General features: G+C 49.5%; 1 long non-coding RNA gene across 3 annotated transcripts, besides 2 other annotated features; it reads right to left on the reverse strand.

The window, feature by feature from the left end:
• Positions 1 to 1,080: 1,080 nt before the first annotated feature.
• On the reverse strand, positions 1,081 to 16,299 carry LOC105372694 (uncharacterized). Of its 3 annotated transcripts, XR_936926.3 has the most exons (3): positions 16,212 to 16,299; positions 15,968 to 16,076; positions 1,081 to 1,278 (listed from the first exon to the last, which is right to left on the reverse strand). It is a non-coding gene; the product is annotated as an uncharacterized LOC105372694 (long non-coding RNA). The 3 variants fall into 3 exon arrangements; XR_007067679.1 differs by lacking the exons at positions 15,968 to 16,076; positions 16,212 to 16,299 and adding an exon at positions 11,647 to 11,852; XR_001754691.1 differs by lacking the exons at positions 1,081 to 1,278; positions 15,968 to 16,076; positions 16,212 to 16,299 and adding exons at positions 10,820 to 11,044; positions 11,647 to 11,852.
• Positions 12,307 to 12,807: an enhancer, noted in NCBI's record as "H3K4me1 hESC enhancer chr20:56750743-56751243 (GRCh37/hg19 assembly coordinates)". NCBI's record gives its function as "activates a minimal SCP1, AML or CMV promoter by ChIP-STARR-seq in naive H9 embryonic stem cells {active_cell/tissue: H9 hESC(naive)}" and the evidence as "EXISTENCE:reporter gene assay evidence [ECO:0000049][PMID:30033119]".
• Positions 16,402 to 16,461: a silencer, noted in NCBI's record as "silent region_13068". NCBI's record gives its function as "represses an Ori minimal core promoter by ATAC-STARR-seq in GM12878 lymphoblastoid cells {active_cell/tissue: GM12878}" and the evidence as "EXISTENCE:reporter gene assay evidence [ECO:0000049][PMID:35858748]".

The following is a 17,679-nucleotide window of genomic DNA, read 5'->3' on the forward strand; positions in this document are numbered from 1 at the left end:
CATTGCTAGAGCAGAGACAGCACCCGCCTTGGTGGGGGATGAACCTCCCATGTCAGGTTGTTTTTAGTTCTAATTCTTGATCACAAAACAAATCTAGGATTCATCATCCATGTCATCTGCGTGCCCACAACAGGTGGCAGCAAAAATCTAGCCCAAAAGGTGGGTTCCCTTGACCTGTCCTGACCCCTAGCCTGGACAGGAAATCAACATGTCCATTTTTACTCTTTTGAAACTCAGGGGTAAATTAACTTTCGCCCTGGTTTTCACTAACCTGTGTATGTTGACCAACAGCCCTGACTTTTAGGGAGACTAGTCAGCAGATCTTTCTGGTGGAAATGATCAGAGTGGAGCTGAGAAAGCCATGCCACCGTGTGGACAGCTGAACCTGCAGAAAGCCAGAAATCCCAGTGAGGAAGGCCTCTGAGGCTGGCCCGCGCCTCCTGGCCACAGCGTACCAGTGGAGGAAATGGGTGTGGGTGTACCCGTATTGGATCCATTTAACTCCAGTTCCTTGTGAGGACAAAAATTCAAGACACTCAGATCCAAAGTCTGAAGACACACATGTTCTCTGGACAATCAGCAGGTGAATACGTTTCAATATCTCAGAAATTATTTGATGCTTTTTTGCTACCCTTCAATTTAAATGACGCTCATGCCAAGTTTATGTATATGTGTTTAATGCCGTTTAAAACTATTCCTACTTAAAACATTACAGTGAAGTTCTTTTTAGCCTTTTGCTCTTGACAAAACATAGATGGTTAGATATTTTAAACTAACTGACATCTAGGAAGTCTTAGTTGGTGGGGTTTTTTTTCTTCTGTCCCCGGTAATGTATTCACCAACTAACCACATATGTGCTTTCATTTAAAGAAATAAAAACAAGGCAACATTTCTGCAGGTATCAAACTCCAGTGCCATGGTCCTCCCTACCGACACCCTCCCCCTGGACTCACAGAGTGACCTTTTGGCATTAAGCAATTTGGGCTGCACTCAAGAGTTTGTAACAGAGCACAAATGTCCAGTCAACGGCCCCAGCTGAGAATCGAAGTGGACAACATTCAAGGATTCAATTACCCTGGATGGCTTCAAACTTGACATTTAATCTATGGAAATCAACCTCTTTGTGGGTGTCCAAATGGGCCCATAAATGTCACCACACACTGTAAAATACCGCAACATTTCCAAGGTCGAGATGAGGCTGGTGAACCTGCGTCGATGATGCCGAAATACATCACAGCAACGAACCACCAGACGGGCCTCGGTCAAAATGAACCATCTCTGAAATGATGCAAAACATAATTAGGTTGGAGACTCGGAATGGATTCTGTCACAAGCACATTTCAGCCCAAGACAAATTAGAAACTCTTAAATTTGAGTTAGGAGAAAATGACATGATCAACTAAAAAATAAAATTACTGGAAAACACAACTATTCCCTTACACATCGACCCACACCTGAGTATCATTGTCATGATGGACTCTGGGTTTTCAGTACCCAAAGCCTGGGACCAGATTGTTGGGGAATTTATAATTTTGTGTATTTGAGAAACTGCATATGCTATATATTATATGTAACCCCTCTGGCAAGGTCTGAGGCAGCCCCTTGAAATGAAATCTATTAATATTTTATAACAAAACTGAGGAATATTCACACTCAATGAAATAAAGACTCAAAGGAGCCACATATGAGTTTGGTTCAGGTTCTGCCAACAAATGAATCTTGGTGTCAAACTAAGGAGAATATTTCTAGGTTTTAGAGCTTTTTAGAATTCGAAACTGATAAGAGATTTTGGACATAAAATGTTGCCATCAACAGAAAATATTGTAAGGTTGGTTCTTTTGGATCTGCCTTTCGTTATGAACTTGGATCAGGACTCTCTTGATTGTAAGAGGAAGAAACTCAATCCCTAGTCTAAGTACAAAAGGAATGTTTTGACTCATGTAACTGGAAAACTCAAAAGTAGGTCTGGTTTCAGGTACAGCTTGATCAGGGATTCAAGCAATATCACCAAGACCCAGGGTTTTTCTGCTCCAATTTCCTTCAGTTTGGTCTATCTGACTGCTTTCAGCTGCAAGTAACATGGCTCAGCATTGTTGAAATGACAAGGCTATTTCTTAGATCACAGACAGGAGGTCCCCAGGTAGGCAGAGCACCAGGGCTAGTCTAGTAACTTAAATTCAGCAAGGATTTGCATGCTTTTAACCACCTCTCTCAGCCATGCCACTCCCAATGCCAGCCTCGTCAAAGGCTGGCTTTCTTCCTGGCTGTAGGATGGGCACCGTCAGCGGCCTAGGCCACATGCTTTCCTGTTCACCTCTGGCAATAGAAAGAGGGAAAGGTTTCCCACTCATCCCTGCAACTCCTCTGGAGGGTGTCATTGGCCAGAAATGTATCGTATCCTCATTCCTGAGTAAATCATGGCTTTATCTCCCTTGGGCCAAACAAGCCAACCCCTTCCCACGCTGCATCGTGACTCTGTAGTAGGAGGCAGTGCAACATCCACCGGAACTTCACATGCCTCGTGGTCACAAAGATGCAGCAGCTCCCCACTTCTCTTGCTTTTAGCGTCAAGTAGAACAGGAAGAACGCCCAGAGGCTGTTTCCCAGGATTCCCAACAAAAGTCTCATTGACTCTAATTGGGTGACATATCCCTTCCTGAACCCATCAGTGTGGCCCAAGAAATGAAGTGCACTGATTGGCTTAGTCCTTGGCTCCACCCCTGAGATGGAGTAGGCCACAGCGCACAGGGCACGTAAGTCGAACCAGAGGAAGACATCTCCCAGATGGAAATCTGAAGGTGGTTCCCAAAAGTAGGGGGAATGGAAGCCGCATGGTAAAGACAGTTAACAAAACAAGCCCGCTATAGAACCTGAAAATGAAGTTTTCACGACCTCATGTGTGGTGGTAATTATCAGATCGCTTCAATTCACTTTGGCCAATGTGGCAGGCAGCCTCTGAGATGGCCCTGGCATCCTCACCTCCTGATATTCACATCCTTGGGTAGTCCTTGCCCCTTGAGGGTGGGTGGGATGTAGTGATTCCTTTGTATGAATAGAATATGTCAAAAGTGATAGGTTGTCGCTTCCCAGATTAGGTTACAAAAGACTGACTTTCATCTTGCCAGCTTGCTCCTCTCTCTCTTTCTCTCTGTCTCTTTCTCTTTCTCTCTCTCCTTTTCCTTCTCTCTCTCTCCACCACTTTCTCTCTCTCTCTCACAATCTCACTCTCTCTGATGAAGCCACCTGCAATAGCATGAGATGCTCAATGGAGATGTTCCCAGGACAAGGGACTGAGAAGACCATGATCCACCAATGTATGAGGACCCGATTTTTACTCATAGGTATCAGTAAAAATTATTTAATTTCAAAAAATTACAGAAGCTGGATCAGCCTTCCAGGTGACATTTGTCATTTTTAGTTTGGGGACAGAGCCAGAAAAATAATCCACAATCCCTAGTCCCAAGTTATCACCTAAAAACTATTTGTAGAGGCCCACCAAGGGCTGGAAATGCCTTCTCTTGAATCAGCGGAAAAGGAGAGGCAGGAGAACAGGTGAGAGGAGGAGACTCAGGAGTGGGGCTGGTCTGCGTTCAAATCCCGACACTCCCCACTCCAGGGGTGTGGCCTTGGGCAGGTGGTTGGACTTCTCAGACTTCTGCCTTCCCCAGCTGTGACATGGGGACCCATGGGGGTGACAGAAGGATACGTGGGGAAAGGGCTTGGCAGAGAGCAGATGTGCAGACACAATGTTAGTTTCATCTCTTGCAGCAAAGCAAGAGATTCTTCAGAAACAGGGTGAAGATCAAATGAGACGCTGGTGATAAAGTACCTGCTGAAACATCTGGCGTGGCCAAGAGGTTCAACAAAGACTGGCTGGTGCTACTTTTACTGCTGCTGCTCTTGTTGTTGTTGTTAATGAACATGATTCTACCGCCCATAGAATTAGGCCGTCAGCAGGCTTTTCAATTAAGTGAACTACATTTATTTCAGCACCTATCCATGTTTAAATCTGGCCGTTGCCAGGGCTCAAGAGAAAGCTGGGTGCTCCTTCAAAATAACACAAAATAAATTAAACTTCTCTCATGCCCACTGAAAAAAATAATATTTAATACCTTTCTGGGGCCATTCACTTAAACTTTAAAAATGGGTCCCAAAACAATTCTGGATTTTATGCTTGCTGAGCCTAATTGCATGACTATGAGGTGACCTGACAGGGCCTTAGTTTTAGGAGATGATCGTGTGGTTAATAAGCTGTGTTCTTCATGGGTGGGTAATGATTCTGATTAGATGAAATTCAAACGAGGGCTCTTGGGTAAGCCACAGACCTGGAATCCCCGGCACCCAGAGAGAGCTGCTTGCTCCCCCTGAGAAATTAAACACAAGTGTAAGCAACTGTTGTCTGAGTGTTTGTGCATGGCTATGATTGATTGATTTACTGTTCAGAAAGCTCCCTTTTAATTAGGAAGTAAATCTTGCTTCTCGATGTGTGACGATAACTGTCCTTTGAGAATACACAGGCAGTGTTGACCCAGGAGTGAAGGAGGAGCCACTCGTGCCGTGGGAAGCATGGTGCTATGGGGAAGGGCCGGCCCCACCAGAGGCCTGGACGTAGGGTGCCCAGCAGGAGGGGTGCATGGCCAGGGCTGAACCTGGGCTGGTGCTGGACGGCCACTGAGGAGGAGGGTACAAAAACAATGGCTCACATTTATTGGGTCCTACCAAATGTCAGTGTATTAAAGAGTCTGACCCTACTTTTTGATGTCTGCCTGCTGACTCTTTAAATCTGTCCGTCTGCCCCCCATTTGGGGAAGCTGGTAAGAAAGCCCAGGTGCTCTTCCCTTTGGCATGAGGGGGCCGTTCCAGCCATCCTCCAGGCCCACCCCAGGCCCCATAAAAATCCCAACCGGCCTCCTTTCCTTGCACTCTCCAGCCGTTTTCAAACCTGCTGGGAAATCTGCTCTGCTCTCCCCTGGAAGCCTCATGATGCAAGTAATCAACTTTTCCTACCTCTCGGTGTGTGTCCCGTCCCTGTCTGCATTGGACAAGGTTTTGTGGGGAGGGTGGTCCATCCTGTATCTGCAGACCAGCAGGCTGCTCCTGGCAGCCAGATACTGTGCTAAACTCATTCCACCTTCACAGCAACCCTGCATCCTCCATCCTGTATAAGCCCCCATGTGAGGGGGAGAAACAGAAGCTATATGAGGTGAAGTGACTTGCCCAGTGTCACACAGCAGTGGAACCAGACCTCAAATCCTACCCTGCATGACTCCAGAGCCACCAGAGGACCATGTGGCATCGCACAAGTTCACAGGGAACCACCCACAGACGTGGCATAGGCTGCTCCCTCTGCCCAGAGCTCACCTTTGTCCTCCAGGGATCTCTCACACACCTACACCTCTTGCCAGGCGTGGGAGGTAGAGTTCTAAAAGTGTCCCCACTGCACACCCAGGATTCCACATCATTGTCCCCAGAAACTGTGACTATGGGGAGATGTCATTGCCATGGTTATGTTAGGGTCTATGGCATCTTTGACCTTAAGACAGGGTGATGAGCCTGGATTATCCAAGTGCAATCATCCGGTGTCATCCTATGAGCTCTTAAGAGTGGAGCGTTTTCTCCGGCTGGTGGCAGAAAGGGAAGTCAGAGACATTGAAGCATGAGAGGGGCGTGACCTGTCATTGATACTCTGAGGCTGGAGCAGAGCTCATGAGGAGGCAGCACAGCCTCAGGAAGCTGAAAACACCCCTGGCCAAGAACCAGCAAGGAAACAGGGCCTCAATCCTGCAGTCACCAGAGCTGTGTTCTGCCAAACACCTGAATGGGAGAGAAGTGGGCTCTCCCCTAGAGACTCCAGCTAAGAAGTCAAGCCAGCTCACACCTTGATTGTGGCCTAGTAAGACCCTAAGCAGAGAACAGCAAGGTCCATCTGGATTTCTGACCCACAGAGCTGTGAGATGATCAATGGGTGCTGTCTTAAGCCCCTGAATTTGCAGTAATTTATTACAGCAGCAATAAAAAACTAAAAGCAAATCCACCACAGGTGCCAAGGATGCGAGTCCCTGACTGCTCTTCACCTGGGGCCCTTTTTCAGAGCTGTGTTTGCAGCCAGCATCCTTTAGGGACAAGGCAATGTCTCCCTCCAGACAAAGAGCAGGCCTTCTTCCTGCTTGCTATGAAATGGTTGGTTCCCAAGCTCCGCATTCCTCAGCTGTAACACAAACCCACCATGTCCATGGGACTTGAGGGCAAGGGAACACACATGCTGAAGCGCAGGCTACTTATTGTGCTGTGAGTCATGAAGTCCTTCGTCTTTGATCCAGGAGTCTTGTGTCTTCTGCCAGCATCCATGAATCAGTAGCACTCTAACTTACGAGCTTATATGTAAAGTAAAATGAAATCCCAGACCCCACAACAGTTCCTTCTCCTTTTCACCATCACCCTCCCACTCATCTCCAGCTAGCAGCTGGTAGCCCTTCCTGAGAGTGGCTTTTTCAGCCCTGTGACACCTTCCACGCCATTGGAGCAACAAATACTACTCCTTCGTAACAGTTTGTCACCTAAAACTTTTGCATTTTTGTGTGATATTTTTACAAATATCTGAGTCCCCTAGTAACTTGGTATTCCAGGTATCATGCCTGACTTTTCTCACCATTACATACACAGTGTCTAAGAAAATGCCCAGCCCATAATAGCTGCTCAACATTTATTAAAAGAAGGAAGAAACTGCTGGTGATGGAGTCAGGTCATTGAGCCCTTGAGACAGTCACAGTCCCACAGAATATCCACAATATCACATTCCAATAAAATTACAGGCCAGGCGCAATGGCTCATGCCTGTAACCCCAACACTTTGAGAGGCTGAGGCAGGAGGATGGTTTGAGCTCAGGAATTTGAGACCAGCTTAGGAAACAGGGCAAGACCCTGTCTAGAGAATAAATAAATAGATTAGATAAGTAGGTAGGTAGGTAAGTAGAAAGATGGATAGATAGGTAGGTAGATAGATAGATAGATAGATAGATAGATAGATAGATAGATAGATATAGATAGATAAAATTACAATCACCTCCAATGTTCAAATATAATGCTGTCCTAAAAACATGTACAAAGGTTAAGTGTTTAAAATCTTAGCAATCCCCATATATATCACTAGGGAGCTTCTCTTCTCATAAAGAGAAAACATTTTTACGAAGTTCCTCATTCCCCTTGCCTTAGATGTAATAGTGAGTGCCATGTTTCAGCTCAACACCTGTTCTTTAGAGGTGCTGAATCTGAAGACTAAACAGGAAGCCATTGGATTTGCCTCCCTTGAGCATCCACATGGGCCACGGATGCGCCTTGTTGTACAATGACATTCATCGTGGTTACGACAACAGTGGTGTGAGACACCTTTACTTATCATCTCTGGTTTTAGCAATTTCCTGTTTTCCCTACTCATTTTTATAAATAATTATTCAAAAATACAAAGCACATTCCAATACTTGCACCAACGAAAGCCAGAGAACTACTAAGATGGTGCCGGGCCCATCCCGATCTCGGGGGTGCAGAGACCAGGTGGCAGCTGCACTCCCAGGCAGCAGTTCAAATTCATCTGCTGGCTGCTACGGCAGGGGTTATCCTCTAACACACAGCAAGTGCAAGAAAAAGTATATGCCGTTCTCCTTTCTTTAAAATATGCCTCTCTTGCACTGTTTTATTCCAGCATTCAGTGGAGACATGGGTGTGGAGAAGGAGTCAAGATTTCTCTCTACTACAAGGAAAGCTGAATCCTGAACAAAACAATAAATGGTAACAGACACGTAAATTCACGATCAAGGATCCTGAAGGGCATGGCAGAGACAATGGCGTCTGTAGAACCCATGTCCTGTTGAGAGGGCAGCTGCCCCTCAGCGCCACGGGTCACTGCCTGGGGAAGCAGGGGACAGCACAGCCAGATCTTTCCAGCTTCCAAAGGAAGCCGAACAATTTGGACTTTATAAATGTAAAATCTCCCGATTTTAAAATGTCTTTTAAATGTTTAATGTTTTTAATTATTAGTAAGCCGGGCGCCGTGGCTCATGCCGGTAATCCTAACATTTTGGGAGGCTGAGGCGGGAGGATCAGTTGAACCCAGGAGTTTGAGACCAGCCTGGGCAACACAGTGAAACCCCATCTCCACAAAAAATACCAAAAAAATAGCAGGGTGTGGTGGTGCATACCTGTAATCCCAGCTGCTTGGGAGGCTGAAGTGGGAGGATCGCCTGAGCCCAGGGAGGTCGAGGCTACAGTGAACTATGATCGTGCGACTGCACGTGCCTGGGCAACAGAGCAAGGCCTTGTCTCAATAAATAAATAGTATTTAATAAATAAACAAATACTATGCAAGTTAAACCCAATAAGCCAGCAGCCTCCAATTGATAATTTCTGAAATAAACTCATATTTTCAACTGCTTTTGTGACTTCTCCACTTGGATCTCTAAAAGGCATCTCAGACCTGACATGTCAAAAATGAAACTCTCGATTCCAGCAGGCATCTCCCCGCCCCATCCACCCCCACACCGACTCCAACACACCTCTGCTCCTCATCACATTCACAGGCAAGTCAGTGACCAGAGCATTCATTCACCACCCAGCCCATGCACAAGTCTCGGCTCCCTCTGCCCCACCCACCTCCCCAACCATCCTTCAGCATAACTCTCTGCTTCACCCACCTCCAGCACCATCATCTCTGTGAAAGAACAGGCATTGTGACACTGTGATGCACACCTCTGGTAGAGACAGCCGTGATGGCAGACTGTGTGGGCCATGGTGGATGTTGTTGTTGTTTGCAGTGCACACCAGCCTGGAAATGCTTCAGCCTGGAGGTGACGTGTTGTTTCTACTCATATCTCATAGCCCAGAGCAAGTCACCTGACCTTGCCTAACTTCAAGGGGACAGGAAATCTTCATCAGCACTCGTAATATCTACCACAGGGACAAGTAACTTCTACCATTGCTAAATTTTGGGTTTTGCCAGTAAAGAACACTTAAAAGTATATATCCACCACTACCATCTATTAGATCAACAGCGGACAAACGATGGCCCAACGGCCACAGTCGGCCCAAAACCTCTTTGTAAATTAGGGTTTACCAGCACACAGCCTGTTGCTTGTTGTATATATTGTCTGTGGCTACCATTGGCGCTACAACAGTGCTGAGTAGTTGCAACAGATACTTCGGGTCCTGTAAAACTGAAAATATTTACTTTGGGCCTTTACAGAAAAAGCTTGAGCACCCCTAGGCTCATTCATTCACTGTCACAATTATCTCATAAAAGAACATTTGGGCCGCGCAAGGTGGGCTCACGCCTGTAATCCCAACACTTTGGGGGGCCAAGGGGGGTGGATCGTTTGAGCTCTCCTGAACAACATGACGAAATCCTGTCTCTACTAAAAATACAAAAATTAGCTGGGCGTGGTGGTGTGCACCTGTAATTTCAGCTACTCGGGAAGCTGAGGCTGGAGAATTGCTTCAACCCAGGGGGCAGAAGCTTCAGTGTGCCTGGATCACGCCACTGCACTCCAGCCTGGGCAACAGAGCAAGACTCTGTCTCAAAAAAAAAAAAAAAATGGAAAAGAAAAAAAAAAAGAACATTTTTAACTGAGAAGGTAGGGAAATGGTATCTCAGAATAGAGGCTCACCCTTAAATCAGATCTTGATGGAAAAGACGTGATGACTTTATTTTCTTCATATATCTGCAAAAAGAGGAAACTTCAGCAGAGGCTGCTGTGGGGCACAGACAAGTGTTTGGGGAGCCCTGGACTGTGAAATCCTTTAGGGATTAAAACTCAGAGGCTGGGAAGGAAGCGGCAGACAAGTGAATTGGGCCGCGTGGGGCCGTGGGGCCGTGGGGCCAGGACCGTGGGCAGAACTCAAGCCCACCTGAGAGGCGGGGCCAGGAAGCTGCAGCCAATGGCTGCCGTGGGGCGGGGCTCCAGTACAGTCTGACCTTCTGATTTGCCCAAAGAAGATGGAAACACATTCTCATCTTGTCATATAATTCCCAATTTAAGAAACAAAAAAAACACTCTGAAGGACAAATTTCATGACTGTTGTTTCCCCCAGAGATGAAGCTGGGGAACAGAAGTGACCCTATAGAACAGCAGACTCATCGAGTTTACCAGTAATGTTTCATTTCTTTATTTTTCTAAAAAAAATGACACGAAGCAAAAATGACTGGAAGCCACTAAAAGGAATGAAGTCGTGATACACGCTACAACGTGGATAAGCTCGGAAAAGAGGCCAGAAAACACAAAAGGTCACCTATTGCATGGTCCAGTTGATACAAATCCAGAAGGAATCAACCCTTAGGAACAGAAAGCAGATTCACCGTTGTCAGGGGCTGGGCAGCGAACAGGAGCTAGACGCAGAGATAGAGGCGATGGCTGTATAACATGGTGAAAGTGCTAAAGGACCCTGAATCGTGCACTTTAAAACGGTTCATTTTATGTCATGTTAATTTCACCTCAAAAAACATGACTGTTGTCAACTCTGGGTGATGTGCGTGAAATTATTCTTTTACATATTTTTCCCAATTTCTGATACACATATTGGAATATATTTTACCCACTGCACGGGTGAAATTCAACACAGTGCAGGGCCAGGACAGGCCCTTGAGGCACCGGTTTGCCGCGGTAGATCTCCATCATCCACGGTGCCCATCGGGTCACCTGGTCGTCACTCCACCGGCGGTCCCCACCCGGGAGACCTGCTTATCTCTCCCAGCCTCGGGAAAACTGCTCTGGTGGGATCAGAGATAAAAATAAATCTGCAGAATGTTGGGCCAGACACGAAAGAGAACAGGCTGTATGATTCCATTTATATAAAGTGCAGAAACAGACAAATCTGATCAATGCTACAGAAGCCAGGATGGTGGGGTCGTTGTGCGGTGGTGGTTGGGAGGGGCATGAAGGGGGTTGTGCTGGTCACTTCCTGTTTCTGAATCTGGATGCCGGCGGCACAGATGTGTTCAGTTTGTGAACGCTCCTGGGGCTGCACAATCGCGCATGCACTGTCCTGTATTACTTCGGCTTTAGAGAAGTTTTTAAAGAAATAATAAATGCATAAATCCATCAGATACATTGAATTTCCTGCCAAGCCTTTGAAATAGAGGCCCAGGCCTTGGCTTCAGGTTGCAAGACACCCGAGAGTTGAGTTTGTGGGATGTTGTACAGACGTGGGTCTCAAAGGCTTATTATAACTTTTTTTATGCAAACAGAAATTACCCCAGCACATCTGGAGACCAAGCTCCTAAAGCGGGTGTGAGTGCAGCTTGTCACTGTACCTTCGCAGCACGAGGAGAGGAGAGTTCGAAACCACAAAGCTCCTTCCTTTCTTTCAGGAGAAAGAAAATGGAGGATGGGAACGTCATCAGCCCAGACCAAAGCTGTTCTCAGGCTTAGAATCAGGGAAGGAACGTAATTGCAGAGGGCACACGCTCCTCTAATTTTTTGGAAAGAATCTGAACGCACTGGTGTGTTATTGAGTCCCTGGGGAAGCTGCTGCCCCTCCCCATACCCTCACTCCCTCCACAAGTTCACAGACACCTCGGAGGGAGCCCAGGAAAGGCTGTGAAAGGACCGCACCCAGAGTTGCCTTCCAGAGCCCCTGCTCCCCTCCCAGGCCAGCATACCGAGCCCTCTGAAGGGATCCCACAGCAGCAGCCCAGAAGTCCACATTTTCATGGAGTTTGTCCACATCCACAGCAAACAGCAGGCAGGCCGGGGATTATATAAGCTAATTACCCCATTCCTTCCCCTCAGTGCAGAAAAGGTCAGGTCCCCACAGCCAGCGGGCAGGCTCAGAGCACAAGTACAGCCCCCACCTCCATCCCCCGCCCCAGGGTGTGGGAGGAGAAAGGAGAGAAGGAAAAGAGGGAGGGAGGGAGGGACAGAGACAGAAAGAGAGGAGAAGGGAAAGAAAAACAGACAAGTAGAGGCAAAAACAAGGGAGAGAGAGAGACAGAAAGGCAGGCAGGCAGAAAAAGAAAAGAAAGGGAGGAAGACATTGAAAGGACAGGAAGACAGAGTGAGCGAGAAACGGGGAACAGGAGGGGATGGGAGGGAAGAAGATTTTCCTTTTTCCTTCCTTTTCTTTCTCTGAACTTCAGCACAGGGAGAATCTGCATTCCCAGGACAGGAGCACCTCCCCCAGCAGCCCTAGTGTGCGCTGAGCAACTGGGCAGAACCAGACTGCATGGGTTCAAGTCCCCACTGGCCACCCGCAGCCACTGCATCCCATTATCCCAGGTGAACGGTTTCCTCTTGAGTGATCAGGGCCTCGTCTGTGTCCTCCCTGTAGTGTGGAGAGGACATGGATGGACTCTGCGTTTATGCCCCGGCAGGCACGCACCATAGGGGCTGTGCCTTGGAGCTTGGAATAGGGATTCCTCCAACAGCAGCCATCACTTGAGAAGGGGCCACAGCTCCATCTACCCAGGAGAGGGCCAGATTATGCCCATACTGCAGGTTAGCATCTGTCCCATAGAGAAGGGTCCTGGTGTGGTCACTTGTTCTGTCCCTGGGTGACGGGATGGACAAGGGGGATGGTGGTGATAGTCCCCATGTTAGTCACCAGCTGGGAGCTGGCTTGGGTTCAGGTCTCACTTCCATCACTAACTTAGGCCGGGCTGGGGCACCAGGTCCTGGCTTGGCTTGCGCCCTGAGTAGAGCTGGTCCTGACAGCGGAGACCCTGTGCCCAAGTCCCCCCTGGGAAGTCAGTGTCCCCATAAGGGCAGTTGAGTCCAATGTGCAGAGGCCCTGAAGGAGGTGATCGTACTTCTATCCCTGGTCCCCCACTCTCCAGCCATGAGTGTTGGGCAGCCCCTGATGGGGCCCTGACCTATAAAATGGGGGTCTCATAGCTGACTTCAAAAGACCCTGGGGGGACCCACTCAGATGACTCACAGGGTGGGTTCTCGCAGTGGCTGCCAGCTGTCCCCACCATTACCCTTGGAGACCACAGGCCCAATCTGAGGAGCCTCTTACGAGAGGGGGTCATGAGTCTGGGGCTTACTGGGGCTCTCGAGATACTCATTCCCCACTTTCTTCCAACCCCCTAGAAGCGCCTCCAGCCCCCATGCCCCTGGGCTGATGAGAAATTCAGTTCCAGCCAAATGGAGGCTGCTGTTACGCCCGCACCTTCTCAAAGCCCCAGAGGCCTAGCATGGAGCCAAACTCTTGGGGAAGCCCCGAACTCTCAGTTCACAATGGTCAGTCATCACTTACAAGAACAGCAAGGGCAACTATTTATTGAGCACTTCTTTTATGCCAGGCATTGCTCTAAGTGCTTTATGTGTTTAAATAATCCTGACTGCAGATTACAGAGGGGCACCATTCCTATCGCAGATGAGGCTCGCCTAAGGCCACCAGCAAAGTGATTCAGCCTACTTCAAACCCTGAGGTGTGGCTCTGGTCCCTAGGCTCTTGATATACATAGACCCTAAGGGTCTCTTGAGGGCAGAGGCCAAGAGGTGGAGGCAGAGGGGCTTTGGAGAAGCAGGGGCCTGGGCATCCAGGGTCTAGCCTGGCAGGAATTCCTGGCAGCCCTACCAATGCAGACTCTGCCATCTGCCCAGGAAGCTGTGAGACTGGGCTGTGGCCCCCCCAGCCCTAGGACCCCCTCCCAGCTTGGTGGCTGTTTTTCTCACTATCTCAGCCATGCCCCCCACAAGGCATCTTCCTTTTGAAAATAAAAACCAGGAGTGGGCAATTTCAGTCCCCCACTCCATACCACAAAACCCTGATGAAGGAGTTCCACTGCCTTCTGGGAAGAGGAGAAAGGAAACACACACACACACACACAAGAGCAAGTCACAAATTAACATCACAGCACATGAGGTAGGCACACCTGCATTTCTGCAGACACGCCTGGGCTCAGGAGACTGCCAAGCCCCAACCAGCCTGTGTCCTGCAGGGATGTATATCCCACTTCCAGCAACAGTAGGGCCCTGACATTTAATCCTGAGGAGGTGACCCCCACTGGCATCTCTGAACTGGGCCTTGACAAATAGCAGTCACTTCTGAATCCATTCCCCCAAAAGGTCACCAGCCAGACGCCAACAAAAAACCCAGCCATCGCTGTCACATGCCGTCAGTCTTCCCCCACCCCCACCTTCTCCCCCATCTGTCTGGCTTGTGGAATCCTGTTCTGGCAGGAAGGTACTAGCCAAGACCCCCACCTGCCAGGGCCTGTCACCCTCCTGACTCCCAGAATTCCCTCCTTCCCCCTCACCAAGTGGGGGATTCTCAAGCCTCTGTCCTCACCCCGGGGAGGACCACCAGGGTAGTGGGCCCAAACCCTCCCCTGCTGCCTGGGGTCAGACACAACGGGCTTGCCTTGAAGCAGAGGGGCCAAGGGTCCTTCCCTACACCTGGAGAAACCAAAGCCCCATGACCAAGTGTTGGCCCCATACCCTGGGAAAGAAAACCCTCTGTGAAAGTACAGCAATCCCAGCTCCCTCCCTAGTCTGGGCCCTAATCCACCCCAGATACTTCCTCAGTTTGCAACAAAAATCGCTAAGCAGCTCTCACAGGTCTCATCTCCTTCACCAAAGCAGTCCGCCGAGCCTCAGCCACCACTACCATGTGGCGCCACGCACAGGGTGCAGGCTGAGAGGTGTGGCTTCTCCACGGATCAACTCGAATCAGCCTCTCAGTCATCGGCTGCATCTTCATCCCAGAAACCGCCCTTGACCAAGCATCCTGCCAGGAGCTCCCTTTAGCTACATTTTCCCAACTAACGTGTCCAAGTGTGCTTTTATCTGAAAGCCTTACTTTTTTATGGTTTTCTTTTCAAATTATGAAAATTAATGCATATTTACCTACTGTAGAAAATGAGTGAGACATAAAACACACAAAGAGGAAAGTAGGGTTCCCCTGCCAGACTTGGCCGGGACTGAGAAAGTGAACTGCCCTCTGTGGGAGTGACTCTTGAAAGCCTTGGGATGTGCTCCTGGCTTCCCCAAACATGCCCACATTCCATAATATCTAGTTTCCATCTTAAGCCACTGTCCTGGGAGGAATCCAGGCCCCCATCACTTATTCACTCCCTCATTCCAGACCTGGGTTCGAATCCTAGCAGCCCCGTGACCACCTCCCCGGCTTCCTCATCACAATATGGGGCTGTTGCAAGGATTTGATGAAGTTCACCCCACAAAGCCCTTTCCACAACGTCTGCCTACAGTAAGTGCTCAAGAAACAGCACCAATGAATGTTAACATCACCACCATCACAGTGGTATCAAGGGTCTCTGCTTAACAGAGGCATGGTCTGAAGTGAGGATTTGAGGGCAGGTAGTTTATAGGGGAGGTGGTCCCAGGAAGTCCAAGGAGTAGGCAGGTGAGACTGAGGAGGCTAATCAAGGTGTCATCAAGGCCAGCTGCCACATGGGCCCCAGAGGAGAGGTGCTGGACACCCTCAGGGTTATCTCACCTGTGGGGCAAGGGAGCTGGGGTATTTATCCTCCGTTCCCACCATCACTGGCTGGGGGCTGCTCTTGGGGGAACTTAGCTTCCTGGGATGTGGGTCCAGACTGGAATGGTGAGTACAGGGAACTGGGCAGAACCAGTGCAGGTGCTGTTCAGTGCTGGATCTGTGCTTGGAGGTGGGGACACAGACAATTCAGGTTCTAGGCTCTCCAGGGACTCCCCCTGGAGACTGGAAGGTGGACCTAGGAGTGGAGACTCATATTGCTGCAGCCATTCACAAAATGCTTCCTCTTCTCTCCGTATTTCTCCCTCACTCTTCATTGCCACAAACAGGACAGGGGCCCCAGGGGCAGGGTCATGCACTCCGCCCTGGCTCCTGGTCACGCTCCCACCTCGGCAACCCCCCGGAGTTCAGTGGAGACCCTGCATCCTGGGTCCACACCAGCCTTGTTCACAAGACAAGGTGACAGAGGCCATGCGTTCAGATGTGGAGCAGGGAGACTTGAGTATGACTCGACCTTTTACCTGATGGTCCCGGGACTTCGGGAGGAGATCTGCCCTGCTGAGCCTCTGCTTCTACATCTGCAAAGTGAGACTTACAGGCTTGGCCGCCTCTTTAGGCTGCGTGAAGAATCTGGAGATACAGGGAACATTCAACACACACTGAGTGCCTGGGTCTGCTCATGGTTTCCCAATTCAGATCCAAGAAAAGCACGCTGCTGCCCCGCAAGACCAGAACACAGAGCCCCTCCCTCCCCAGGAGCCGGACCTGAGCAGCAGGGGGTTAAAGAGCAGTACCCGGGCTGTCCCCGGGTCAGGGTCGTTTGCACGAAGGCAGAGCCGCGGAAGAGGGAAGGAAATGCCCCGGGTCCCAGGCGGGGCCTCGAGCGTGCCCACGCCGCCCCCTGCTGGCCACGCCTGGAGTTGCAGGAACCGGGCGCCGGGCGGGACCTCAGCTGCGGGCTCCGCGCTGCTCCCGCGCCGCGTGGGTGAAGCGCCCTCCCCGGCCACGCACTGGGGTCTCACAGGGGCCAGGCTGAAAAACAATGCACGCCTTAAAGGCGGGAGGCTGGCCTGGCGCAGGCTGAGGAACACTGATGAACGACCTCCTGCAAAGGATTGTCCCCAGAGGACAGGGCTAGGGGGAAGCAGGACGGCGCAGCGTCTACACCCCCGCGCGTGGGTGGCCCCCGGAACTGCCCACACCCCTGGCTCCCGGGTCAGCCGGTCACTGCCAGATGCACCACCCCCACCGCCACAGCCAGGAGAGGGGATGACATGGGGTGGGAAATTCAAGGGAGAGCCCAAAAAATCGTTCTTCAAAATAAATCGTATTTTGAAAATTCAAAATCAATGCAAGCATATCCAAGAACAAAATATCAAAACTGTAAATGAAGTCAGGATCAGTAGTACTGATTTGTCCTTTTGCCTAGGGCTGCAATACGGCTAGGCCCAGCGCTGTTATTTATCTGTCATTATTTAAAGCTTTGATATTAAGCCAGTCGAGGTGGCCCACACTTGTAGTCCCAGCACTTTGGGAGGCTGAGCGGGGAGGATCACTTGAGGCCAGGAGTGGGAGACCAGCCTGGGCAACATGGTGAGACCCCATCTCTACAAAAAATACAAAAATTAGCCAGGTGTGGTGGCCCACGGTTGTGGTCCCAGCTACTCAGAAGGCTAAGCAGGAGGATCACCTGAGTCCAGAGAGGTAAGGCTGCAGTGAGCTGTGATCACACCGCCACTGCCCTCCAGTCTGAGTAACACAGTGTCTCAAAAAAAAAAAAAAAAAAGAAAAAAGAAAAAAAAAGCTTTAATATTTTGTATATCATGAATTTTTTTGCATTGATTTTGATTTTTTCAAAGTCACACTAAAATATCCTCTATCTTGATTACAGGGTTTTGGGAGTTGTGCTTTTTTAGCATTTCCTTAAATTTTGCACCCAAGGCGATGGCATCACCTGCCTCACCCTAGCCGTGGTCCCTCCCTCCTGCTTCTTTCTGTGGTCTCTCCCCAGGGGCTCTGGATCTCTTAACTCCTCAGGCCTCCCCACCAGGCAAGGTTCACCACCCCTCCTTCCAGCAGCCTCTAGAAGGTGGAACGGGCAAGGAAACGGATTCTACGCTAGAGCCTCCCGAGGAGAACACAGCTGGCCGGCACCTGGATTTTAGCCCAGGAGACTGTGACGGATGCTGACCTCCAGAGCTGTGGGGTAGCACAATTGTGTTGCCTTACACTC

Source organism: Homo sapiens, chromosome 20 (genome assembly GCF_000001405.40).
Source record: "Homo sapiens chromosome 20, GRCh38.p14 Primary Assembly".
NCBI classification, from domain to species: Eukaryota; Metazoa; Chordata; class Mammalia; order Primates; family Hominidae; genus Homo; species Homo sapiens.